General features: G+C 37.2%; 1 protein-coding gene and 2 pseudogenes across 13 annotated transcripts in view; 2 read left to right on the top strand and 1 right to left on the bottom strand.

The window, feature by feature from the left end:
* Window positions 1-27,727, top strand: part of USP32 (ubiquitin specific peptidase 32) — a 245,090-nt gene that overhangs the window by 149,621 nt on the left and 67,742 nt on the right. For 12 of the 13 annotated variants that reach the window (XM_011525372.2, XM_011525371.2, XM_011525376.2 and 9 more), the window contains 6 exons: window positions 1,315-1,446; window positions 3,239-3,346; window positions 6,705-6,820; window positions 7,322-7,384; window positions 17,538-17,621; window positions 20,354-20,415. In XM_011525372.2, coding sequence (XP_011523674.1) covers window positions 1,315-1,446; window positions 3,239-3,346; window positions 6,705-6,820; window positions 7,322-7,384; window positions 17,538-17,621; window positions 20,354-20,415 — 565 coding nt within the window. Of the gene's footprint in view, window positions 1-1,314; window positions 1,447-3,238; window positions 3,347-6,704; window positions 6,821-7,321; window positions 7,385-8,452; window positions 8,537-17,537; window positions 17,622-20,353; window positions 20,416-27,727 lie in introns of those variants that run through there. The other variant, XM_047436945.1, reaches the window with a different exon arrangement.
* SEPTIN7P12 (septin 7 pseudogene 12) lies at window positions 14,388-16,107 on the bottom strand (annotated as a pseudogene).
* On the top strand, window positions 27,149-27,492 carry RPL32P32 (ribosomal protein L32 pseudogene 32; annotated as a pseudogene).

Here is a 27,727-nt window from a genome sequence, read left to right as displayed (position 1 = left end):
TCCAACCTATCTTCTTAACTCAATGAAATCTCTCTGCTTACAGTACTCATCCCTTGTTTAGGTCTGGAAAGTGACTGTGGGGAAAAAATCCAGGGTAATGAAAGGGTTCACCTTATTTGTTTCCTCTCTCTCAAGGTTCACCGTTCTATGCTGCTTATTCTCTAATTTCTAGAAATAGTTTTATATATTTCATACAGTTTTCTAGTAATTTGTGGTAGGAGGTGAAGTCTGGTGCTAGTTACTCCATTATAGACAGAATTTGAAATTTCTAGATTTATATTTTAACAGGATCACTTTGGTTCCTGTGTTTAGTTGAGAATAAATGTCCTATGTACGCTTTGTAAATTTTACTTTAGTTCCTTGGAGGAAAAACAAACACAGATAAAATGGTTTAGAGCCTATTTGCGATTTTTGATGTATATTCTGAGGAATGAGGAGAGACAGGTGTTCATGCTTTCATGGCTTTGCTATTGCTATCACATAGGGACTCCTACTCCATCTTCTCTGTCAGTGCTGACTTTTTTCATTTATTCAATAAGTATTGAATGTGTAAGTCATTAATTGTATTGACAGGATGAATCAGACATAGGTCCTGCCATTATGATGTTTACAGTCTAGCCAGGAGAGAAGCTGTACATAGAAACTTTAAATCCAAGATAGAGATTGAAAATAAACAAAAATGGCTGAGCACAGTGGCTCACACCTATAATCCCAACACTTTGGGAAGCAGAGGTGAGAGGACTGCTTGAGACCAGGAGTTTGGGACCAGCCTGACCAACATAGCGAGACCCCATCTCTGCAAAAAGTTTTTAAAAAATTAGCTGGATGTGGTGGCGTACACATGTAGTCCTAGCTACTTGGGAGGCTGAGGTGGGAAGATGGCTTGAGCCCAGGAATTTGAGGCTGTAGGGAACTATGATCGTGTCACTGCACTCCAGCTTGGGAGTGACAGAGCAAAACCCTGTCTCTTAAAAAAAAAAAAAGAAGAAAAAAAATCAGTACAGGTAAAAGTGGTGTGGGAAACCCAAAAGAAATAGCTTAATTTTTATTTTAAATGTTGGATTTAACAGCCTACTTAAATGGGGAATTGTAGATTTCTTTTTTCTGTTTTAAAGCTTCATTTTGTTTATTTTGGTTTAATTTTCCTACCATTTTGGATATAATAAATTTCAGTTTTGTTTTTGGTCGTGATTATTTTTTAGCAATTGAATTGTGAAACTAAAATATATCTGTGGAAGATATATTATCAGGATGAACTGAACTCCTGAGAAGAGAATTCTGAGGTTTTATAATCTTTTTTGATTTGACCCTTAGTGGAGGAATCAGACATCATTGATCTTGAGAAACGCTATTGGTTATTGAAGGCTCAATCCCGGACTGGACGATTTGATTTAGAGACATTTGGCCCATTGGTTTCACCACCTATTCGTCCATCTCTAAGTGAAGGTAGGGATCATTCCATTTTCTACATATGTTCACTGGTAAACATACCTGAGCCCATCTCATATTTGTAACCAATACATTTTAACTCTAAGAAACCATCTTCTCATATGTTTGCAGGTTTAATGGAGTGGGGAAAAACAAATGGGAATTATTATTATAGTCTTGAGCCTGATATTCTACCTGTTATAACCTTGCATAAATCAGTTTAGCTCTCTGCACCCGAGCATGCTCATGTATAAAATGTGTTTGACCAAGGCAGTGGTTGTGATACTGTGTTCCAGTAAGGTGCATTAGTAGCTAGTGCCTGGAGTCATGTGGTGGCCACTGAATGGGCAGAGCTCCATGTTTCCACACATGACCTCGTCTCTTCCTCCAGTAGGGTGCCTCTACTTTTTTTCTTTTACATAAGAAGATTCCATTGCTGTATTCTCCCCTCCAAAAAAAGATGAAGAAACTATTGGACTAGACCATCTCCGAGGTGCTCTCTAGCTCTAAACTTAGTGCTGTTACTTTTTTTTTTTTTTTTTTTGAGGCAGAGTTTTGCTCTTGTTGCCCAGGCTGGAGTGCAGTGGCGCCATCTCGGCTCACTGCAACCTCTGCCTCCTGGGTTCAAGCGATTCTCCTATCTCAGCGCCCCAAGTAGCTGGGATTACAGGAATGTGCCACCATGCCCGGCTAATTTTGTGTTTTTAGTAGAGACAGGGTTTCTCCATATTGGTCAGGCTGGTCTTGAATCCCCGATCTCAGGTGATCTGCCCACCTCAGCCTCCCAAAGTGCTGGGATTACAGGCGTGAGCCACTGCGCCCAGTCTGCTGTTACTTTTTTAAAAATAAGGAGTCCAAATATAATTGTGAGCACATCATAAAAATCATATTTTGAATATGAATACTTGGGTTCTGCTTCCAGCTCTCACCTTTTAAAACTTATATTTGGCAAATCATGTAATTTTCTCTGAGCTTTAGTTTTCTAATCCCTAAACTGAGGGCACTGCGTTAGATTCTGGGAATATACTATCTGTATTCTTCAAATTTCTAGAGTACTTCGGAAGTACTTGTCAGGGGAGCCAGGGCAGATAGGGCTCTGGGTTTCTACCTACTTCAACAACAGTGCATTGTGTTTTTACCTTTTTAGAATTGGGATTGATGTATCATTTCATTTGAAAACAAAATTGTTTCATTTCTTTTTTTTACGAAATGTTTGAAAACCACAGGATTAGATTATAAATTCCCTTTGTGAAATTTAAAATATTCATGTATAAAAGATTCAACAGTACAAAGAGACACTGTAGTAGAGAATTTCTTTCTCTTATGTTGCATAGTGTATCTTCCTTTGCTTTATGAAAGAGCTTTATGGGAGCTTATTAATGATACCATAGTGTATCTTCGAGTATTCATTTAATAAGCAGTTCAGTTTTTCTTTCTTTTTTCCCTTTTTCTTCTTAGTCTTTCTAAGTAAGGATAATTGTTGCAATTTCTGACCTTTTTTTGGTTTTTAATTTTTATTTATTGACTTCAAAAATAGTCATTTTAGCCATTAAAAATGATGTAAGATAAATATAGATGGACATAACCAAACACTAAAGGATTGTAATGTATTTTCTGCCATGATCACAAGTTTCAATTATAATTATACCAAGAGGAAAGAGGTACTTCCTGAAACATTAGGAACTACTAATAAACTTAAAAAAAAATTCAGTCAGTTTATGGGAAAGAGTCATTCCTCCTTTTGTAAACATGTCATTATTAACATTAGGAAGCTTGGCTGTGATTTATGGCATCTCTTCCTATTTTACAGGTTTGTTTAATGCTTTTGATGAAAATCGTGACAATCACATAGATTTTAAGGAGATATCCTGTGGGTTATCAGCCTGTTGCAGGGGACCCCTGGCTGAAAGACAAAAATGTAAGTGTGTTAAACATTGTCAAAAAATTGCAAACTATGTAGAGAGAAAATCAGTTTTCATCAATGTAAAATTATCTGTGGATTAAGGCTTGAATTTTTATAACTTTGTCAGATTAACAAATATTAATCTCATGTTAGGGTTTTACTGAGGTCACTCTAAGGAATCAATCACCTCTTCTTTTTTACTATGGAATAGTTTGGGATATTTGCTATTAACAATGGAGTTGATTTTCCTGAAGAATTTGTAATTCATGATAAATGAATCAGATCAGCTATGATGTAATTGAAAATTTTAAACATTTAGGAAATATTTTTCTGGTAGAATTTTGTGTCTTACATAAGTTGAGGCATAACTCATTTTCCATCCACTGGCACAGATTAATATTTCATTGGCAAAAGAAAATTTATGGTCAAAACTAATTTTGTCAAATACTAAAATGATCTTTTTTAACCTAACTAAAATGTTGTAGCATAATTTGTAAGCATAAATACATTCCATTATTAAATCTTAACCATATTTGTAAAAATGCAGGCATTTACATTTAATTGGAACCTAACTCAAATATATTTACTGGGGTCATTATCTCCACGTCTTTCTAAAATAAATCTTCCCAAATGTTGCATATTTTGGGTGTGGTGTTCAATATTTTTATCGTATTTAGTACTGTTGTACTATGATGCGCTCAATTGATTTAATAGCCATAATTCTATTATGAAGGTATATGAAATAATTTTTCAACTAAAAATTCAAATCTCTATTTTTATTCCCTGTTGTTATACCACTATTTCAAACTGGCTTGGTTGTTTCCATTACAATTTGCTCTTAGATGAGGAAGCTAAAATCTTTTTTTTTTTTTTTTTTTTTTTGAGACAGGGTCTTGTTCTGTTGCCCAAGTTGGAGTCCAGTGCAGTGCAGTGGTGTGATCGTAGCTCACTGTAACCTTGAACTTCTGGGCTCAATGGATCCTCCCATCCTAGCCTCCTAGGTAGCTGGGACTACAGGCATGTACCACCATGCCTGGCTAATTTTTTTTTTTTTTTTAAATAGAGATAGTGTCTTGTTATGTTGCCCAGGCTAGTCTCGAACCTCTGGCCTTAAATGATCCGCCCACCTCAGCCTTCCAAAGTGTTGGGGTTATAGACATGAGCCTCCATGCCCAGCTCTGCATTTCCATTAAAGTTAATTGTTGTCTTAAAAAATTTTGTTTTAATTTCTTTTTTTGCTGATGAACTAATGGAAGTTAAACTAGAATGATTCATTTGGAGTTAAATAGCAAAGCACTGGTGTTCTAATTGTTAGCATGTTGTGTTTGAATTTCATTAAAGAGTTAAAATTGTTGGCCGGGCATGGTTGCTCACGCCTGTAATCCCAACACTTTGGGAGGCCGAGGCAGGTGGATCATCTGAGGTCAGGAGTTCAAGATCAGCCTGGCCAACATGGCGAAACATAGTCTCGGCTAAAAATACAAAAATTAACTGGGTGCAGTGGCAGGCATCTGTAATCCCAGCTACTTGAGAAGCTGAGGCAGGAGAATTGCTTGAACCTGGGAGGTGGAGGTTGCAGTGAGCCAAGATTGCGCCATTGCACTCCAGCCTGGGAGACAGCAAGACTCTGTCTCAAAAGAAAAAAAGGCCTGGCACGGTGGCTCACACCTGTAATCCCAGCACTTTGGGAGGCCAAGGCAGGCGGATCACAAGGTCAGGAGTTCAAGATCAGCCTGGCCAATATGGTGAAACCCTGTCTCTACTAGAAATACAAAAGTTAGCCGGGCGTGGTGGTGGACACCTATAGTCCCAGCTACTCGGGAGGCTGAGGCAGGAGAATCGCTTCAACCCAGGAGGCGGAGGTTGCAGTAAGCTGAGAACTGCACTCCAGCCTGGGTGACAGAGCGAGACGCCATCTCAAAAAAAAGAAAAAAAAAAGAGTTAAAATTGTTTTTGCCAAAAAAAGATTGAATGTACATTAGTTATACTGGAAAGGTAACATGGAAGTGGACTGTCTTTATATCAGCTTAAGATTCTTGATATAAATAGGATTTCTTTTTTGAGACGAAGTCTCGCACTGTTGCTTGGGCTGGAGTGCAGGGGCACGATCTTGGATCACTGCAACCTCCGCCTCCCGGGTTCAAGCAATTCTGCCTCAGCCTCCCAAGTAGCTGAGATTACAGGCGCCCGCCACTACGCCCAGCTAATTTTTTGTATTTTTAGTAGCGACGGGATTTCACCATGTTGACCAGGCTGGTCTCGAGCTCCTGACCTCGCGATTCGCCCACCTCGGCCTCCCAAAGTACTGGGATTGCAGGCGTGAGCCACCATGCCCAGCTGTAAATAGGATATTTTAAGCAAACAAACAACTCTGCTGGCCTGGCACCGTGCATCATGCCTGTAATCGTACCACTTTGGGAGGCCAAGGCCGGTGGATCACTTGAGGTTAGGAGTTTGAGACCAGCCTGGCCAACATGGTGAAATCCCGTCTCTACTAAAAATACAAAAATTGGCCGGGCACAGTGGCTCACGCCTGTAATCCCAGCACTTTGGGAGGCTGAGATGGGCTGATCACAAGGTCAGGAGATCGAGACCATCCTGGCTAACACAGTGAAACCCCGTCTCTACTAAAAATACAAAAACTTAGCCAGGCATGGTGGCACGTGTCTATAGTCCCAGCTTCTCAGAGGCTGAGACAGGAGAATTGCTTGAACCCGGGAGGCAGAGGTTGCAGTGACCTGAGATCATTCCACTGCACCACAGCCTGGGCGACAGAGTGAGACTCCATCTCAAAAAAAAAAAAAAAAAATTACCTGGGTGTTGTGGTGTGCTCCTGTAATCCCAGCTACTCGGGAGGCTGAGGCAGGAGAATTACTTGAACTCGGGAGGCAGAGGTTGCAGTGAACTGAGATCATGCCACTGCACTCTAGCCTGGGCGACAGAGCGAGACTCCATCTCCAACAAACAAAAAGAAGAACAAGAAACAACTCTGCAATGATCAGTTTTCAATATTAGAAATTAACCTAGGGGTTTGCATTACTTCCTAAAAACTTGTAAGGTATTGTAATATTTATTGTACAGTAACTTCGCCCTTTCTTGACAGTTTGTAAGGCATTTAGCTTTAGATTTGGCTGAAGGGTAGGGTCTTATATCTGAATAATGATTTAGAGATACAGATTCATGATATGCAGGAAGTCCTACAAGTTCTGAGGACTATAATGACATAATATAGTTTATTACAGATGAGAACTGTTCCAGAATACATATACTTGCTTTAAAAACTAAGTAATTATACAAGGGCAACTTCTAGTAAAATATATTATACCTCAGAATACAAAAATGATTTTCCTCCATAAGAGTTTCTTTTCATTAGTTTGCTTCAAGGTATTTGATGTTGACCGTGATGGAGTTCTCTCCAGGGTTGAACTGAGAGACATGGTGGTTGCACTTTTAGAAGTCTGGAAGGACAACCGCACTGATGATATTCCTGTAAGTTATGATTGTGTATGTCTTGTTGCGTATAAACTTCCAATGGGAAATTGGAGGGAATCATTTTCTTTAAAAGCATAAAATAATTTGTTACTGCTTTTAGTTACTACATTATGCTACTCAAAATATTTATAGCTGAAGATGCAAAATTGGAAAGAGAGTTTGGCTTAGAAAATCTTAAACTGAACTATGTAAAATAAGAATGAAACCATAGGAAAGTTATCTTAATTTTTAATCATATATGAGAATCTATGGTAATTATAAAAATACTTGAGCAAGGCCGGGCGCAGTAGTTCTTGCCTGGAATCTCCGCACTTTGGGAAGCCAGGGCTGGAGGATCACTTTAGCCCAGGAGTTTGAGATAATCCTGGGCAACGTAAGGAGACCCCATCTCTACAAGAAAAGCAAAACAAATCTTGCTTAATATACTTTAGCCATTGAATAACAAAATTAAAAGTATATTCACTGTTTTCTAATTACTCCTTTGGGTTATTTTTAAAGGAATTACATATGGATCTCTCTGATATTGTAGAAGGCATACTGAATGCACATGACACCACAAAGGTGAGTCTAGATAGAACTAATTTATCTTTTTCTAAAAATATCATGTACTCCATTTGGGATGTATCGCTTATATACATGCTTGAATCTCTTTGGCATCCTCCCTACCAAGTACTTATCTGGACCTGTGGGTAAAACACCTCCAAGTTATCTCCAAAGAGAGCCATTCCATCTTTAAGCAACTCTGAAACTGTATGTGAAAACATTTATTATAAGCTAGGCATTTTATAAGAATTATGTAGACAGAGCCCTTGGCAACTATAGCCTATCATCTGTATTTCTTCCATTTGACTAAGTTGTGGTAAGGCTAACCTTATATTGAGCAAAAGAAGTCAAACAAAAAAGAATATATACTGTATGATTCCATTTATATGAAGTCGAAGAACACAGAAGCAAAACTAACAAATAGTGATAGAAGTTGGAATAGTGATTTCAGGGGTGTGCAGATTAATTGGGAACAACCGTAAGGATATCTGAGATGATGGAAATGTTTTTTTCCTCTTAATCTGGCAGTACATATATTCTCTCTCTCTTTTTTTTTTTTTTTTTTTTTTTTTGACAGAGTCTTGCTCTGTCACCCAGCCTGGAGTGCACTGACAGGATCTCAGCTCACTGCCACCTCTGCCTCCCGGCTTCAAGTGATTTTCTTGCCTCAGCCTCCAAAGTAGCTGGGACTGCAGGTGTGTGCCACCATGCCGGCTGATTTTTTTGTATTTTTAGAGTAGAGATGGGGTTTCGTTATGTTGGCCAGGCTGATCTCAAACCCCTGGCCTCCAGTGATCTCCCTGCCTTGGCCTCCCAAAGTGCTGGGATTATAGGCGTGAGCCACTGCGCCTGGCCAGTACATCTATTCTTTCAAGAAATTTCTTTTGTTTTTTTTTTTGTCTGTTTGTTTTTTTGGAGACAGGATCTTGCTCTGTTGCCTAGGCTAGAGTGCAGTGGTGGGATCTTGGCTCACTGCAGCCTCGACCTCCTGGGTTCAAGCAATCCTGCCTCAGCCTTTCGAGTAGCTGAGACTATAGGTGTGCACCACCATGCCCAGCTAATTTTTTTTTTTTTTTGTAGAGACCAGGTCTCGCCATGTTTCCCAGGCTGGTTGCAAACTCCTGGGCTCAAGCAGTCCTGCCTCAGCCTCCCAAAGTGCTGGGATTACAGGTATGAGCCACTGTGCTGGCCTAAAAAATTTTTTTAAATGGTTGTGGTAAGGACCTCTCCTGTGTCCTTTAGTGGTAGCCAGAATAAGCATGTAATAGCAAAAATAAACATGTACTTTATAAATTAAAAAAAAATCCTTGACTTATTTAGTTTGGTAACATTTATTAGTAATGTTATCATAATAGATTTACTCCTATAGCTTGCATTACTATGATGTCTATGTGTCCCTGTGAAATTGAAAATAAATTACCTGTATGAGACACATTTGCATAAATTGGAGTCTTTCTACTGAAGCATTGACATGTACCAAGTCGCAGATTGGTAGGATCTACACCACAATGGTGTTATTAAATAGAGGTTTAGAATAAATAAAGAACGTCAGTTTTTTTTCTTTCTTCAATCACAATTTCAGAAGAAATTGTTAATGGCCCTATTAACTGATTCTCAATAGAAACAAATAATAGAAATGAGTTTCAGGCTAGAGCTTTGACAATTCAGTCCCCTTCTTTCTCCTCTCTGCCAGAAACTAAGGTATCGACTTCTATTTCGTGTGTATGAGAACAAAAACCAGGAAAAGTTTCTGTTAGAAAATGCCTTGTGTAGAGATAAAATTTTGAACACCTTTTTTCTAAGTGTTTCATAAGTATGTAGGTATTTTTGCTGTCGCCTTTTATGTTAGATGGAGTTTCTACTTCTGGCTCTTCTGTGAACATTAAACAAGATCATTTAGCTGCTTCATTTCCATGTAACCATGATAATGAAATAGTAATAGTTTGGGATAGAACTTGGGTTTTTTAACCAAGCCTATTAACCATATTCGCTGGTGACTAGATTGTACCAACATTACTCATTCTTTTTCTGACTTCCAACTCTTCTCTGTTTTATCTAATTCATCTGTTGACTATTTAATGATACTCTGTAGTGGCTCAAGAGATCTAGATGTTACCCTTGGATAGTTTGTAGTATACAGGTAAAGATAGACAAGTGTGATCAGGGCTATGTTAGAAGTTGAGGCTGGGCATGGTAGTTCTCATCTATAATCCCAGCACTTTGGAAGGCTGAGGTGGGAGAATCACTTGAGCCCAGGAGCTCTCGACCAGCCTGGGTAACATAACGAGACTCTATCTCTAAAAAAAGAAAAAACGTAGCCAGGCACAGTAGCACATGTCTATAGTTCCAGCTACAAGGGAGGCTGAGGCGAGAGGATCATTTGAGCCTGGGAGGTCAAGGCTGCAGTGTGCCATGATTACACCACTGCACTACAGGCTGAGCAACAGAATGAGAACTTGTCTGGAAAAAAAAAAAGGTTAGCACCAAGTATTACGGTGAGAGGATAGAAAGGGAACCATGTAAATTGAACTTTGAAAGTCCAGAAGATTTCTGCTGGGATGTGGCACTTTAATAATTAGTTAATTATGGTTAACAGAAGTAAAAAGTTGAAAGGTGATTCCTAAAAGAGGTAACAACTAGGGGTAGAATAGAAGACATTATTACTGTATAGGACTGTACAGTAAAACATCCTGTGTAGTCCTAGAACTGCAAATATTCTGATGTGGCTGGAATAACAGATTCATATATTGAAGGCTGTAGACCTGGATTGGAGACGTATCTTGAAGGGCCTTGGGTACAAAACTCAGGAGTTGAACTTTATACCAAACTATGGAGAAACCTCCAAAGATTCAAGTAGAACAGAGCAAGTGATCAGCTGACACTATTTTGAAAATCAGGGCCACATTTAAACGGAGGACATTTACAAATAAGTCATATAGGTTGGGCATGGTGGCTCACGCCTGTAATCCCAGCACTTTGGGAGGCCACAGTGGGCGGATCACCTGAGGTCAGGAGTTCGAGACCAGCCTGGCCAACATGGCGAAACCCTGTCTCTACTAAAAATACAAAAATTAGCCGGGCATGGTGTTGGGCATCTGTAATTCCAGCTACTCAGGAGGCTGACGCAGGAGCTTTGCTTGAACCTGGGAGGCGGAGGTTGCAGTGAGCCAAGATGACACCATTGCACTCCAGCCTGAATAACAAGAGTGAAACTCTGTCTCAAATAAATAAATACATACATACATACATAAAACAAAATAAATAAGCCATATAGTCAGTGAATTTGCTTTAGAAAAAGTTCATATGATACCTTGCTTAGCAGTAGTCCTAACTGCAGTCAGTAAAACATCCATTAAATTGGGAGAAAATAAAATCCATTTACAGTTCTAGATTTTAAGCATAATGCTCTATATGTTTTTACAGTGTGTTAATTATTACTCAGGTGTCAGTATAGCAAATGGGCTTTTGATCATCATTGTATGCATGATGATTCTGTACGGTGGTATCTATTATTTCTTTTCATGACGTTTCTTTCCTTTTGGACAGTATTAACATATCTTTGAGGTCAGTGTACCTGAAAATTGTTCCTTGAATATTTGTGGTTATATAAAAGAATCAGATTATCATCTTAAAAATACTTTTTACCATCTTGAGCATTTTATATTTTGTTCTGTTAGATATAAAAGGTTCTTATACCATGTATTAATAATTTATCACACATATCAAATTACATTTGTCCTTTTTTTGTTTTTTTGTTTTTGTTTTTGTTTTTATTTTTGTTTTTTTGAGATAGTCTTGCTCTGTCACCCAGGCTGGAGTGCAGTGGAATGATCTCGGCTCACTGGAACCTCTACGTCCTGGGTTCAAGTGATGCTCCTGCCTCAGCCTTCCAAGTAGCTGGGATTACAGGCTTGCACCACCACACCTGGCTAATTTTTGTATTTTTAGTAGAGACGGGTTTTGCCATGTTACCCAGGCTGGTCTCAAACTCCTGACCTTAAGTGATCCACCCGCCTTGGCCTCCCAAAGTGCTAGGATTACAAGTGTGAGCCACCGTGCCTGGCCTACATTTGTACTTTTTAAACAGCCTTTATTTTAGTTTTATTAGTAGCATTTTAGATTTTCAAACAATAAAATTAATAGAAGTTATTACATTTTCATATTTCACTGTGATTTTCCTATCTGTTCTAGATGCTGAGTCCTATAAAATTAAAATGGGTTTACACTAGCTGTTAATTTTGTCATCAGTGCAGAATCATTGACAATTATTACTTCAAAGATAAACAAGTAGCATTTTGAAATATAGCCTATGTTCAACATAGCTTCTCCCTCTGTTGGCATTCTTCATTTTTCTGTCCTGGAATTTTAGTCGTGACTGTTCAGTGTAAAACTCCTGAATGAGTTGAAATTTATCAGATCATATCCTCACCCGTAGAGTTCATTAAGTTATGTGACATGTTTCTCTTTTGCCTCCTCATGACTGAGATACATGATGTGGCAGAGCTTGCAGTTCTTCTGGGTTTTTTTTGTTTTGTTTTAAGAATTAAAATTTTAGTTATTCTCAATGGATGTTAGAGGGGAAGATATACTATTCTGACTACTATCAAGTGTAGGAGAAATTTATATGTATTGTGTGTGTGTTCTATATTTAAAAATTGAATAATACTGTATAAGCGATTATGCAATAATTTTTTTCTGAATTTTCCTAAATCTGTATATAATTTTCTATCTAGCATATGAAAGATGCTTAGTAAATAAATGTTTACTTCATAAACTTAGTAAAATGTTTACTAAGCATCTTTCATATGCTAGATAGAAAATTATATATAGATTAACTTAGTCTTTTTATCCTCTGCATAGTATTCCATTATGATTATGCTATGATTTATTCCTGTATTTTTTTTTTTTTTTAAAGTCTTGCTCTTGTCACCCAGGCTGGAGTGTAATAGCGTGATTTTGGCTCACTTCAACCTCCGCCTCCTGGGTTCAAATGATTCTCATGCCTCAGCCTCCTGAGTAGCTGGGATTACAGGCACCCGCCACCACACCCAGCTAATTTTTTTGTATTTTTAGTAGAGACTAGGTTTCACCATGTTGGCCAGGCTGCTCTCGAACTCCTGACCTCAGGTGATCCACCTGCCTCAGCCTCCCAAAGTGCTGGGATTACAGGCATGAGCCACCGCACCCAGCCTATTCCTGTATCTTTTAAAACCATATTGCTATAGCCAAAAAGTCATTTTCAAAGGCAAGAGGAATACTAATGATGGATGGTTATCTAGTAATTGATGGTTCTGATAGCATTGTAATATGAACAACAGGTCTCTTAAGTCAAAGATTCTTTTGTTCATAATGTATTACAGTTCCAGATGCCTTTAACTTCTTGTACAGTTAGTACTCACTTAATGTTGTCTTTAGGTTCTTGGAAACTGCAACTTTAAGTGAAAGGGTATAGAACAAAACTAATTTTACCATAGGCAAACAAGAGTTAAGTTCCTACAGCATATTTCTAGTCACAAAAATATCACCAAACTTCTAAATAAAGACCCCAAGCACTTCTAATATTAAGCTTTGAAATAAATGTGAACTATAAACAGATCTAAGAAAGATTGATAAAAACAAGATAATTATTTACCCAGTTTTTGGTGAATTAGTGAGTGACAGCAGCAGTCATAGTGGTGATGGGTTAAATCAAGGGATAAATTTGCAAAATGAAAATTATAAGGAACACCTCCTACCACCTTGCAGTTCAAAAACTAACAATAACAAATATGGGAGGCTCATTGAGTACTTTCTCAGCATATCATTTATTATCATGCATTTGTATGATCATTGCATACTTGTTATTTTATGGTAATTTGTATTCATTTCCAACCCGCTTATTCCAGTTCAGGTTAGTGGCTGGCCAGAGCCTATCCCTGCAGCTCAGGGTACAAGACAGGAACCAACCCTGGACAAGACTCCATCCCACTGAAGGGCGCGCTCACACGTATATCCACACTCACTCATACTGGGACAATTTATTTAATTTTTTCATTTTTTTGTTTTTTTACATCACAGCATTGTTACGTGAATTGTTTACAATACAAACAAAAAGGGCATATATGCTATATATGAATACAGCTCAGTGAAAAATAGTGACTTCTTCTCTTTAAAAGGCCATGATTCTTATTTCTAGTAAACTAAAGAGACCGCAGGTTGGTCTTTATCTTCTCAGTGTTTCCTAGAAGTGATCTGTAAATGCATCTTCCTCCTTCCTCCTGCTACTTACCATAAAATGTGTAAAGGGAGCTAAAGGAAAGCTTCCTTGCTGGTTCCTACCATGTGAAACATGCTATATTCTATTTTAGCTGGGCCAATATGTGGAAAATACCTAAATTTAAGTGTTATTACAAAAATGAAGCAATAATGAGATTCTGGCTAAAGGGGCCACTAAATAAGAATAATATATATTTAAAGGATTGTGTAAAAAAGTAGTTCTAGGTGCACTGTAAGCATATAGGGTTTTTTCCCATGTGTATTTTTAAAGAATGGAAAGGTCAAAAAATAGGGTCACCTGTGTTAGACTAATTTACCTTATTGTATATGCTGCATGAGATGGAACTTTGCATTATAGTTATCATAGAGAAGCATAGTTTGCCTCATATTATGGCAATTTATCTTCAATCAAAACCTTCCAGAGTCATTTCATTTTGGAATGTCCTGTAAACATTCAAACTGCCAGAATATGACTGTAAAACAGCGAAGTGTTCTCTTGCATTAAATTGAAGATATCTGTTTAATTTTTTAAAAAGGAAAAGAAAATGTAGGAAAGGTACTTAGAGCTGTTACTTTCTAAGTATACAACACCCTACAATTCAAGGCATCTTAATCTCCATCAGGATCAACAACAAAGTCACTTTTGTCACGCTGTTAAATCCATCATAATGGCTGATGCAGATTGGTCAAAGGGATCCAACAAACACTGATGTGCATAATGGCATATTGGCAACTAATATGTAACTCTTGGTCAGTAGAGAGTTTAAAAGACCTTCCCTTTCTTCTTGATCTTTGCCAAGGTTCTTGAAGAGTTCTGATGTTCTAAAATACGTTGTTGAGCTTCCCAGTTTGCTTACTCATCCTCAAACTGACAACAGTTTTTCTCTTAATTCTTTTTGCTGTGCTTCCAAATTGTTTTTTATTTGCATTAAGTGAACGTAATGTTCATTTATCATTTGCATCATTTCATGTTTTTCATTTGCATCATTTCATGTTTTTCATTTGCATCATTTCATGGCACCGTTGGAGCTCAACTTCAGAGTCCCTCAGGTTTTGAACTACTTACTCACCTTCATCTCAAATACCTGCTCTGTCTTGATCTCCATCTTCTTCATCTTATCTGCTTGCTCCCTTTTTTCTTCTTCCATTTGTGCCAGAGGAAGACTCTTAGTAAGCTGCCATTTATTTTGTTATTGAAATTGTGCCCTAAAGAGTTAAAGAAACCAATGACTATATTCTTGGGCTTACAGGATAGAGGCTACGAAAAAAAGCAACTTAGTAAGAAGCTGAAACTAAAACTGTTCCCCAAAGAGTAAGAAACTGATAACCAGCAGAACTCCTTGAGTTTGCAGAATAGCAGATTGAAGGAAAAAAAAAACACCAAAAAGCTGGCCTGTGTGGTGGCTCTCACCTGTGTAACCCCAGCACCTTGGGAGGCCAAGGTAGGAGGATTGCCTAAGGCCAGGAGTTCAAGACCAGCCTGGGCAACATAACTAGACCTTGTTTTTCTGTGTTTTTCTCTTTTTTTTAAGCCAGTTTTGGTAACCTGTGCCTGTAGTCAGGAGGCTGAGGCTGGAGGATCCCTTGAACCTAGGAGTTTGGGACTGCAGTGAGCTGTGATCACACCACTGCACTCCAGCCTGGGTGATAGAGTGAGACCCTGTGTCTTTTTTAGAAAACAAAATAAAATAAATAACAACTTGCTGAAATGCTAACCCTCTCTCCACTGTGAGATTTTAAAAACTGGCTGAATTGGCTAGAACCAATATGGCTAAGTAGAGTTTACGCAGAATGAGCTTGCTAATTCCCACTGTGTGTTTCATACTGACTCCCCCCAATTGGCACATGTGATCCACGAAGTAACATGAAGAAATAACTGTGCATGCCGAAGGACTTTCCAATCCTCTCCTTCTACCAGTCATCTGCCAATCCCAGAATCCACCCTATAAGGCTTTTTTAATAAAATTATTGCCTTAAAACAAGCACAGGGAGACAGACTTGAGCTGGACTCCCATCTCCTTTTTGGTTGGCTTATAGTGAAAACCTTTGCTTTTCTCAAAAACCCAACATCAGAGTATTGGCTTCTGTCTCATCAGGCAGCAAGCCTCCTTTGCTTGGTAACGTTATCAACTCCATTATGTCACAGCTGCCGGTTTTCTGCTTCTGTAGTTCTTCATTATTAGTAACATCTTTCAAGTTCTGCATGTGTGTTCTTATCAATATATTTCTTAGAATGATGAAATCACGTTGTTGGTCAGTGTTTTTTATTCTATGGGAAGGACCTGGATACTCTGGAGAATAGAAATCTGTGAGGAATAATAAGTTGATTAATGTTGACTGGCCCAATCCAGAATTCACCTATAAGTATGAATTCAAACCCTCTCTTCACCAGTTTTTTGTATACTTGATTTGGGAGATTGGCAGATCTTACATAGCCTTTGAAGTTCTTCTGTTGCCGTGGTGCAGGCATTGATGTTCCTTTCCTCACAGCAACAGATACCACACTACAGTGGGACAATTTAGACACTCCTGTTAACCTAACGTGTATGTCTTTGGGATGTGGGAGGAAACCGGAGTACCTGGAGAAAATTCATGCAGACATGGAAAGAATATGCAAACTCCACACAGATAGTGGCCCCAGCTGGGAATCCATTTTTTCCCCCATTAACATTATAATAAAATGATATTGAATGAAACATTATTCAAGGACCTCTGCTGTACTGATTTGGGTGGAAAAAAAACAAAAACCTTATCACAGCACTTCCTCTGCTGTAAGTGAACAGGACAATTTTTTGAAAAGTGATCATGATAAGAAAGATTCTGTGATTCAGTGTTAGTCATAATCTAGTGATTTGCCTACCCCTCTCCCTGCCTTCTACTTTTTGAATGTGAACTTTTTTGAAAAAACAAAAATGAGTTTTTGTTTTTCTTCCTTTCCCTTTAGCTTATTTCTCTATTCTGATTTGGAGGATTTTCTTTATTTTTATTATTTTTTTTTTCAAAGAGATGGTGTCTTGCTAGTTGCCCAGGCTGGACTCATGCTCCTGGGCTCAAGCGATCCTCTTGCCTCAGCCTCTGGAGTAGCTGGGACTACAGGCACATGCCACCATGCCCAGTGATTTTTCTATTAAATCTCTCACATGTCTGTTGTTTGATTATAAGACAGTTGATCTATACACTTCAGTGATTCTGCAAGTCAATGTTTTTCTCTTTAGAGAACAATATGTGTATATATTTTCCTTGTTATTAGTGCAGACTGCCACCAATATATTTGAGGCATAAAAGGAAGCGAGGACAAATAATGTTACCAGAACATCTTTGTTGATTTAGTTACCTAAACCTTTTAAAGAAAATGGGCAGTATTTCTTACTGCGTTGATAAAATTCAGAGATATTTAGTGAATTTTACCAACCATATATGATTAAACCATATATGTTTGCATTACCACAAATTGTAAAATTTTGCTATTGAATGCATTTAGGAAAACATACAGGAACGAACTTGAACTAGTTTACCTTCTGCATTGTAGGGGAGTTAGGAAAGTAAAGAGGAAGAAATTACTTTTCTGTGTTAGTCAACATTTAGATCATGGCAGATGCCTGTAATCCCGGCACTTTGGGAGGCCAAGGCGGATGGATCACGAGGTCAGGAGTTCAAGACCAGCCTGGCCAACATAGTGAAACCCCGTTTCTACTGAAAAACACAAAAACTTAGCCAGGCATGGTGGCGGGCACCTGTAATTTCAGCTACTTGGGAGACTGAGGCAGGAGAATCGCTTGCACCCAGGAGGCCGAGGTTTCAGTGAGCCAAGATCGTGCCATTGCACTCCAGCCCAGGCAACAGTATGAGACTCCGTCTCAAAAAAAAAAAAAAAAAGAAAAAAAAGATGTTCCTAACATGAGTGTCTCTGTTTCAGATGGGTCATCTTACTCTGGAAGACTATCAGATCTGGAGTGTGAAAAATGTTCTTGCCAATGAGTTTTTGAACCTCCTTTTCCAGGTATGTTTAAGGTAAATGACAGCAACAGAGGGTAGTAGTACCAGTACTTCTACATCTTTTCCATCATATAGTAGCCAGAGTTGTTGTATCTAGGCTGCAAAACCATATATTAAAAAAAAAAAAAAAGAACTACATTACTCGTCTGAAAGATGGGTGCTTGCTGAAGTTTGTCAAAATCGTGACGTGGGAAATAGGAAAGTGGGATGTAGATTATTATAACTCATTATAGAGCAGTACATAGACATATAGAGAATAAGTTGCAAAAGCCATCATAATTTGCTAGTTTCTTCATTATTGTCTTTTTAAAAGGGCTTCCTTGTAATAAGACTGACCAAGAGAATTTTTTTAAAAGAAAATAAATAAATAAAAGGCCTTCCTAATAAGTAAGGCAGTATGACCAGAAAGATGAATCATAAGGAGGTAGCTATACATTTTTCTTTTCTTTTATTATTATTATCATTATTATTTTTAATTTTGAGACAGCATCTCACTCTGTCATGCAGACTGGAGTGCTGTGGTGCAAGCATGGCTCACTGCAGCCTTGACTGCGCAGACTCAGGTCATTCTCCTTCCGCAGCCTCCCAAGTAGCTGGGACTATAGGCATGTGCCACCACGCCTGGGTAATTTTGTATTTTTTGTAGAGACAGGCCTTGCTATGTTGCCCAGGCTGGTATTAAACTCCTAGGCTCAAGTAGTTCTTCTGTCTCAGCCTCCCAAAGTGCTGCAATTACAGGAGTGAACCACCACGCCCAGCCCAAGTTTTTCAAAGTATACCATCTCTCTGGTTAAGAGATCATTGAAGGTATGAGGCTGTTTCCTAATTTTTATTCTTTAGAAGGTCCAAAAAAGATTAAGTGGGAAGGAAAGAAGGAAAGCTACCAGAAGTGAACACTAAGTCACAGAGCTTGCCAAATTTTAACTATTGTCCTAGTTAAACTAATTCCCTCGCTCTGATTTTTAAAGATAATTTATATTTTCCCATTTTTATAGTTATTCGCAAATATTTAACTTGATTTAATAGTGGTTATTTTAGTTTCTTCTTATTTTATTTTCCTTTCACCACTGTGAAGGTCAGAATGGTTTAGTATGTTTATATGTATCATGATCTACCATTTTAAACAAAGAATAACTTGTCTGCAACACGTCTGTGTTGGAATAAATGGAAATTGGTCTCTTCCTGAGAGTTAATGACTAAGTTTTATGTATTTAAAACATATATAATCTGATAGGCCTGTAAATCAATTATTTGCTTTATTACAAGTTATAATTTTCAGCATAGATTCAAGTCGATGGCTTTATAAAATATATATGAAAATAATATAGATCACCACTATAAACACAACAGAATTGCTTGGTAACATGAAAATGGGTCAACTATTTTTTATTTTTTATTTATTTATTTATTTAGAGACAGAGTCTTGCTCTGTCGCCCAGGCTGGAGTGCAGTGGTTGGGATCTGGGCTCATTGCAACCTCTATCTCTCAGGTTCAAGCGATTCTCCTGCCTCAACCTCCCGAGTAGCTGGGATTACAGGCGTGTGCCACCACCCCCAGCTAATTTTTGTATTTTTAGTAGAGACGAGGTTTCACCATGTTGGCCAGGCTGGTCTCAAACTCCTGACCTCAAGTGATCTGCCCGCCTCAGCCTCCCAAAGTGCTAGGATTATAGATATGAGCCACCAAGCCTAGCCTGGTCAACTATTTTTATCTCATTTAAAATAAGATCTTCAGTAGTAGGTTCTGTAGGCTTTTTTTTTTTTAATTAAACTATTGTTACTTTTTAAAATAACAATCACATGTTGAGTGTACGAACTTTTTGTATGAACAGTACATGAACACATTCAATGTATTGCTCATGTACAGTTGACAGTTCATATGCTGTTTGTACACGAACATATTCAGTGTACTCTTTATCTCATAATCAGTGTATGAACATTTTGGTCACTTAAGTTTGTGTCTGAGTCATCTTGTAGCTCTCACAGAGTATAGCATTTTGACTTTTGGTATTGCCTTTCCTATTTTGTCATTCTTACTAAGGACTTGGAGTGGCACTATTTTTGTGATAATGAATAAACATATACTTTATATTTGCTTATGTATGTTTCCAACATTTTATACTGAAAAGCTGAAAGTTTTTTTCAGGAAACATCCAATAATCTACTCAACACCTAAATTTTATTACATTTTACTGTATGTGCTTTGTCACATATTTGGTTATGCTCATATGTACAATTAATATATGCAATTAATATATGAATAAGCAGACAGTTATGCTAAATTGTTTTTATTTTCTATCTGTGTTTTAAAATTGATAGAGTTAATTTGTTAGGTTAATGATACAATATTGAATTATGCTTTTATTTGCCAAGATCTCACACATGGCTGAGTGTTTTGGTTATTTAAAATCTAGCATATGCAAGTGTCAGAAGAATTATTCTGAAATCTGTTCCTGAGGTAATGTCTTCCCCTTTCGCTTTTTCTTCCTTCCCTTTCTCTTCCCTTCTTACCTAGAGATTTGAAAGTTAGCTTCCATTGGAATGGCTTGTTTAAAAAAAGCAAACAAAACCCCAAAACCACAAGGCTAAAGTTAAAATTTGCTCAAGTGAATAATTGATAATTCATGAGTTGAAAACTGTTGCTAATTCAGATTCCAATTTAGGAAATGGGTCTCATGCAGATAATGTGAAATATTATGCAGTTAATAAACTTTGATTTACCATTTTTTTCCCTAGGTGTGTCACATAGTTCTGGGGTTAAGACCAGCTACTCCGGAAGAAGAAGGACAAATTATTAGGTAAATTTGTAGTTTCAATTATATAGTTGAAATTTCACATACTTGAAATATATTGGTTACTGAGGAACAGCATGTCCTATTTTAATGTAATCATTAACTATTTCTCAAAAATAGTTACATATTGAAATATTTTTGTTAAAGTACCTTCCTAGATAAGGGAAGGTACTATAGATTAATTAAGAAGGCAAATTCTATTTAACATTAAAATTGCACTGAATACTAAATTTCATTTTTTGAAATGAGATAAAAGGTAGCCAGTTTTCTTTAGTACAAAAATATGTTTATTGTTGGAAAAATTAGAAAATAGAGCTAAACAAAAAGAAGCAGAGAAAGATTTTATAGATAATTTATAGATAATTGCTGTAGACATTTTTAATATTCATATAAACATATGCCCACAGTGATATTTGTAAAATTCATATAAAAATGGGAATATTCTGAAATACCTACTTTATTCCCTGCTCCTATTTTCACTCTAGATCATATAAAATAATACTTTAATATATTAGAATAAAGCCTTCTTTGAATATAATTTTAAATGATTGGCTAGCATTCCTGTTCATTCTCTATTATTCTTTTTTAGTATAAGCATATTGGACCAATTTTGTTAATAAAATCTCTATGTCTTGGCTTAAGGATTTACTTTAGGATAAATTACTTAAGATCAAATATCCGGATTATATTTAAAAAACAAAGGTATGCATATTTTATAGCTATAGTCCAATTTTTAATAACTTGAGTGTCTTTCATTGCTTTGTGACATTGCTATTATGCTACACATTTGTGTAGATAGTTTCAGAAATAGGACTGAATTTCTAGTAAAATTTGCTTTTAAAATAAACTCTCAATAGGTACTGTCATTTGACTTTTTCTTGAAAGTATTGTGCATACAAACTTTTCAGTAGTTTCTTCTGGCTTGGGTTTCTGGATAGATGGGAGTTTACTAAAATAGAGTTGTTTGGAATACCTGAGAATAGGATTACATATTCAGCATTTAAACAGGACATGCCAATTAAGATATAGATATTTAAAGTAGTAGATATATTTTCTAAGTTTTTAAATGACAAGTTTTAAAAACGGTTATTTATTATTATTATTTTTTTTTTAAGTGAAGGCAAGTTTATTAAGAAAGTGAAGGGGCTGGGTGTAGTGGCTCATGCCTGTAATCCCAGCACTTTGGGAAGCCAAGGCAGGTGGATTGTTTGAGCTCAGGAGTTCGAGACCAGCCTGGGCAACATGGTGAGACCCTGTCTTTACAAAAAATACAAAAATTATCAAGGCTTGGTGGTACACGCCTGTGGTCCCAGCTACTTGGGAGGCTGAGGTGGGAGGATTGCTTGAGCCCAGGAGGTCAAGGCTGCAGTGAGCCAAGATTATGCCATTGCATTCCAGCCTGGGTGACAATGTGAGACTCTCTCAAAAAAAAAAAAAGAAAAGAAAGGAATAAATGGGTGGCCACTCCATATGCAAAACAGCATGGTTATTTCTTAAAGAAGATTAAGCAAAATCTATTTTTTTAAATGTTGCTTTCATAAAACTCTAGTCTCATGTAGTTTTTGTTTGTTGGTTTTATTTTCTGTCTTGGTTTTTCTTTTGAGATGGGGTCTCACTGTATTGCCCAGGCTGGTCTTGAACTCTCCTGAGTTCAAGAGATCCTTCCACTTCAGCCTCTTGAGTAGGTGGGATTACAGGTGTACACCAATGTGCCCAACTTTCATGTAGTTTTTTAAATATTCATACTCAGAAGACTCAGTCTTGATATTCTTGAGTGTTTTCTTGATTGTCTCTAGTTTTTAGCTACTAAAAGATTTTAAAATATATTAACGTAGGATTTTAAAATAATTGACATGTAGAAACCAGATATTGTAAGGACATACATAAAGGCTTTTATGTGGCTATAGTGACTTTTTTTCTTAGAATATTACAATCTAATTTATTATAGTAATATATTCTGAGGTAAATATCACTTAGCATAGGTAGAAATAATGCTTTATAGCCTATATTTATATTTATTGGCTTATTTTACAACTACTCATAGCATCCCTATTTCAAAAAATAAGGTTGATATAATCTTATATTTTCATAGAAAGTTATTCTTTGTAAAATACATGTAGTTACATTATCTCATCTGGTCCTTAGAATAACTGCATGAAATTAGTGTCTCTCATTTTGTAAAAGTGGAAACCAAGATTTATAGAAGTTGAGGACCTGAAATTACATGGGACTGGCAGAATCAAGTTTAGGACCTCTTTCATTAAAAGTACCAATAATTTGCCTTTTGTATTTTGTATTTTTTAATAAGTCTAGATTTAAAATTGTTGGTTCCAAATGGGTTCATTTCATCTGTGGGTTTTTTTTAAAATTTGTTTATTCATTTTCAGTTTTATTTTATTTTGCCTCTACTATTACTTATAAAAATTCATTTGACTGTGATAATTTTTAAAGGATGATTCAGGTTGGTTCATATGCAATGAGGTGAAACAAATATTTGTCTCTAACTTACAGTCAGTACGTTGTTAAAAAAAAAAAGTATCGTGATTTCTGGAATGGCCGAGTGAAGATCTCAGCCAACCCTTTCCCCAAAAGCACTTAAAAAACTGAACAAAATTGTCAAACAACCATTTCAGGACTCTGGAAACTGACCAAATATATACAAGAAATTGAGAAGCATTTATTCAAGAACTACTAATCCTTGGTGAGAACAATGGAAGTGTGTGGTAATTTAACCAGGAGCAGCTTTCATTTCCTCCCATCCAGCAAGTCTGCATGGGCTGTCAGTCTGATTCATGATTTGAAGGAGAGCAGGAATAAATGCCTGTCCAAGGATAATAAAATAAATACATACCATCATGGTGGTAAACAGTGAGGGAAAACTGACATCACCAGCTTGGGGATAAAATACTGGTTAGGGGAAGCAGCAGACTAACAACAGACCAGTCAAATTTTTAACAGGGAACAGGATCACCATAGTGAGCCTTAGCAAGCTTTCTCATGTCCCCAGTGATCTGTAGACTGCTTGTACAAGGCTATACACAAACTCAGGAGAAACCAAAGTGGGCTTTAGCACTTTATTCTTCCCTAGTTGAAGGTGAAGCCTTGCATGTGCAGAAAGTAAAAGCCAGGGTAGGCTTGTAACCTGCCCAAACTTTAAATGCATTCCCCAAACCATGTACAGATCCATCAGGAAAAGGGTGTGAATGTTACTGGCTAAACACAACCAGTAAACTGCTGAGAGCACAACCTCTCAGCAGTCATTGGCTGACCAGTAAGTTAGGCTCACCCCAAGAAGGCCAAGCTTAAAAATAAAAACAGATAATAAAAAAGAAAACACGAAGAAACTGAGCAGCTTCACACTGCAAGATACTGTACCGGAAGATAAACTCTACAGAATTGTTCCAGGAAGTCGTAAAACAAAACAAAACACACAGGGGTTCAGAATCCAGAGTTGCTAATATAAAGTATCAAATGTGTTCAGTTTTCAACAAGAAAAAATTATGAGACATGGAATAAAACAGGAAAATGTGACCCATATACGAGGAAAAAACAAAGAATAGTAGAAACTGTCTCAGAGGTGGCAGCAGATGTTCTCCTTAGCACACAAAGACTTCAATACAACTATTGTAAATGTTTTCAAAGAGCTAAACGAAGCTGTATTTAAAGAATTAGAGGAATGTATGATCTCACTGACTTGTCCAAATAGAAAATAGCAATAAATAAATAAAAATTTAAAACAGAATCAAATAGAAATTCTAGCAGATTTGAGTTGACAGAGAAATATTCAGCAAAACAGAATATGGATCAATAGAGATTATTTCATCAGAAAGAGAGAAAGAAGACCAAATAAATGAACAGAGTTTCACAGAAGTTGGAACATGATCAAGTCTACCAAAATATGCATAATGAAAGTCTCAGAAGGAAAGAAAGAAGCAGAAAAAAGTTTGACAAGATAATGTCTGAAAGTTCTAAAATTTCTCGAAAATTATTAATCTTAGAAGCTTAATGAACTCCAACTAGGTTAAACACAGAAAGAATCACACCTAGACATATCATTGTCAAAGTGTTGAAAACTAAAGACAAAGGAAGAAGTTGAAAGCCACAAGAGCAGAAAGACTCATCATGTAGAAGGGAACCACAATGTGATAAACAGCTGACTTTTTGAAACAATAGAGCTCAGTGTGCAGTGATATGAGAAAGTGATATAAGGAAAAAACCAAAAAAGCAAAAACTGTCAATCCAGAATTCTTTATCTAGCAGAACTGTAATTCAGAAATAAAGGTGAATTACTACCTGACTTCAAAATACACTACAAAGCTATAGTAACCAAAACAGCATGGCACTGACATAAGAACAGACAAATAGACCAATGGAACAGAACAGAGAACCCAGAAATAAATCCAGGCCAGGCGTGGTGGCTCACGCCTGTAATCCTAGTGCTTTGGGAGGCTGAGGTAGGTGGATCATGACGTCAGGAGGTTGAGACCATACTGGCTAACGCGGTGAAACCCCGTCTCTACTAAAAATACAAAACAATTATCCAGGTGTGATAGCACATGCCTGTAGTCCCAGCTACTCAGGAGGCTGAGGCAGGAGAATCGCTTGAACTGGGGAGGTGGAGGTTGCAATGAGCCAAGATCACGCCACTGCACTCCAGCCTGGGCAACAGAATGAGACTCTGTCTCAAAAACAAACAAACAAAAAAAAAACCAAAACAAACAAACAAGCAAAACCCCCCACATTTACAACCAACTCTTTTTTGACAAAGATGCCAAGAGCATACATTAGAGAAAGGACAATCTCTTCAATAAATGGTGCTGGAAAAATTGGATATCCACGTGCAGAAGAATGAAACCAGTTCCCAATTTCTTACCATACACTAAAATCAAATCAAAATGGATTAAAGAGGCTGGGCGAGGTGGCTCATGCCTGTAATCCCAGCACTTTGGGAGGCCGAGACGGCTGGATCACCTGAGGCCAGGAGTTCGAGACCAGCCTGACCAACATGGTGAAACCCTATCTCTACTCAAAGTACAAAAACTAGTTGGGTATGGTGGCAGGCGCCTGTAATCCCAGCTACTCAGGAGGCTGAGGTGGGAAAACTGCTTGAAACCGGGAGGTGGAGGTTGCAGTGAGCCGAGATTGCCCCACTGCACTCCAGCCTGGGCTACACAGGGAGACTCCGCCTCAAAAAAAAAAGAAAAGAAAATGGATTCAAAGACTTAAATCTAAGACCTAAACTACTAGACGAAATTGGGGAAATGCTGTAGGACATTTGTCTGAGTGGTATGACACTGTATAATACCTCAAAAGCACAGTCAGCCAAAGCAAAAATGGACAAACAGGATTTCATCAAGTTAAAAAGCTTTACAGCAAAGGAAACAGTCAACAGAGTGAAGAGACAACCAACAGAATAGGAGAAAATATTTGCAAACTATCCATTCATCAAGGTTTTAATAACCAGAATGTATAAAGGCCTCAACTCAATAACAAAAAACCAAATAACCCAATTTAAAAATGGGCAAGTGATCTGAATAGACATTGCTCAAAAAAAGACATACAAATGGCCAGCAGATATATGAAAAAATGCTCAACATCACTAATCATAATCGAAATATCAAAACCACAATGAAATATTATCTCCCAGTTAAAATGGCTATTATAAAAAAGACAAAGAATAACTGATTCTGATGAGGATGTGAAGAAAGGGAAGTGCTAGTACACTATTGATGGGAATGTAAATTAGTACAGTCAATATGGAAAACAGTATGGAGGTGCCCCAATAAACTAAAAATAGATCCACCATATTATCCAGCGATCCCACTGCTGGGTATATATTCAGAAGAAAGGAAATCAGTAAAGCAAAGAGCTATCTACACCCCTGTGTTTATTGCAGCACTACTTACAATAGCCAAGATACAGAATCAACTTAAGTGTCCATCAGTTGATGAATGGATAAAGAAAAAAAAAAAATATATATATATATACACACACACATACACAATAAAATGTTATTCAGCCATAAAATGAATGCAATCCTGTCATCTGCAGCAACATGGATAAAACCGGAGGTCATTACGTTAAGTGAGATAGGCCAAGCATAGAAAGACAAATATCACGTGTTCTCACTTTTAAGTGGGAGCTAAAAAAGTTGATCTCGTGGAATTAGAGAGTATTATGATGGTTATCAGAGGCTGGCAAGGGCAGGAGGGATAATATTGAAGAGAGGTTAGTTAATGACTGTAAAAATACAGTTGGATAGAATGAATGACTTCTAGTGTTTAATAGCACAGTAGGGTAACTATAGTTAAAAATAATTTATTGTATATTTCAAATTAGCTAGAAGATTCGGAATATTCCCAACCCAAAAAAATGATAAATATTTGAGGTGATGAATATCCTAATTACCATATTTGATCATTACGCATTGTATGCATATATCAGAATATCACATGTACCCCAAAAACATATACTATTATTATATATAATTTTTTAATAGAAATATTTTTAAAGCTTTTTAAAAAAAAACACATTAAAAAAAAAAGAAGGTGAACTAAAGACATTCCTATATGAACACTGAAAATTTGTTACCAGGAAATCTGTCTTTAAATACTGAAGGAAGTTCTTCAAGCTGAAAATAAGTGACACCAGACGGTTATTAACATCCACATGAACAAATAAAGAGGCTCTCTTCCTTGGCGCTGCCTACGGAGGTGGCAGCCATCTCCTACTTGGCATCATAGCTGCCCTCAGACCCCTTGTGAAGTCCAAGATCATCAAAAAGAGAACCAAGAATTTCATCCAGCACCAGTTACACTGATATGTCAAAACTAAGTGTAACTGACAGAAACCCAGAGGTATTGACAACAGAGTTTGTAGAAGGTTCAGCAACAAAAAACAAACCACATGCTGCCCAGTGGCTTCCAGAATTTCCTGGTCCGCAATGTCAAGGAGCTGGAAGTGCTGCTGACGTGCAACAAGTGTGCTGAGATTGCCCACAGTGTTTCCTCCAAGAACTGCAAAGACATTGTGGAAAGAGCAGCCCAGCTGGCCATCAGAGTCACCAATCCCAATGCCAGCCTGTGAAGAAAATGAATAGACAGCTCATATGCATGTTTTATGTTTAAATAAAACCATAAAAACTGCCAAAAAAAAAAATAAAGAGCACCAATAGTAGAAATTACATAGGTAATAATAAAAGACAGTATAAATATACCATTCTGTTTATTTTATTTTTTACTGGTTTAAAAGACATTTTTACATGACAATAATTATAAAACCATGTTGTTCCCATTACATATAACGATCTTATATGAGT

This window comes from Homo sapiens, chromosome 17 (assembly GCF_000001405.40).
Source record: "Homo sapiens chromosome 17, GRCh38.p14 Primary Assembly".
Classification (NCBI taxonomy): Eukaryota; Metazoa; Chordata; class Mammalia; order Primates; family Hominidae; genus Homo; species Homo sapiens.
Note: the sequence above shows the minus strand (reverse complement) of the source record. Positions and strands in the feature narration are given on the sequence as shown.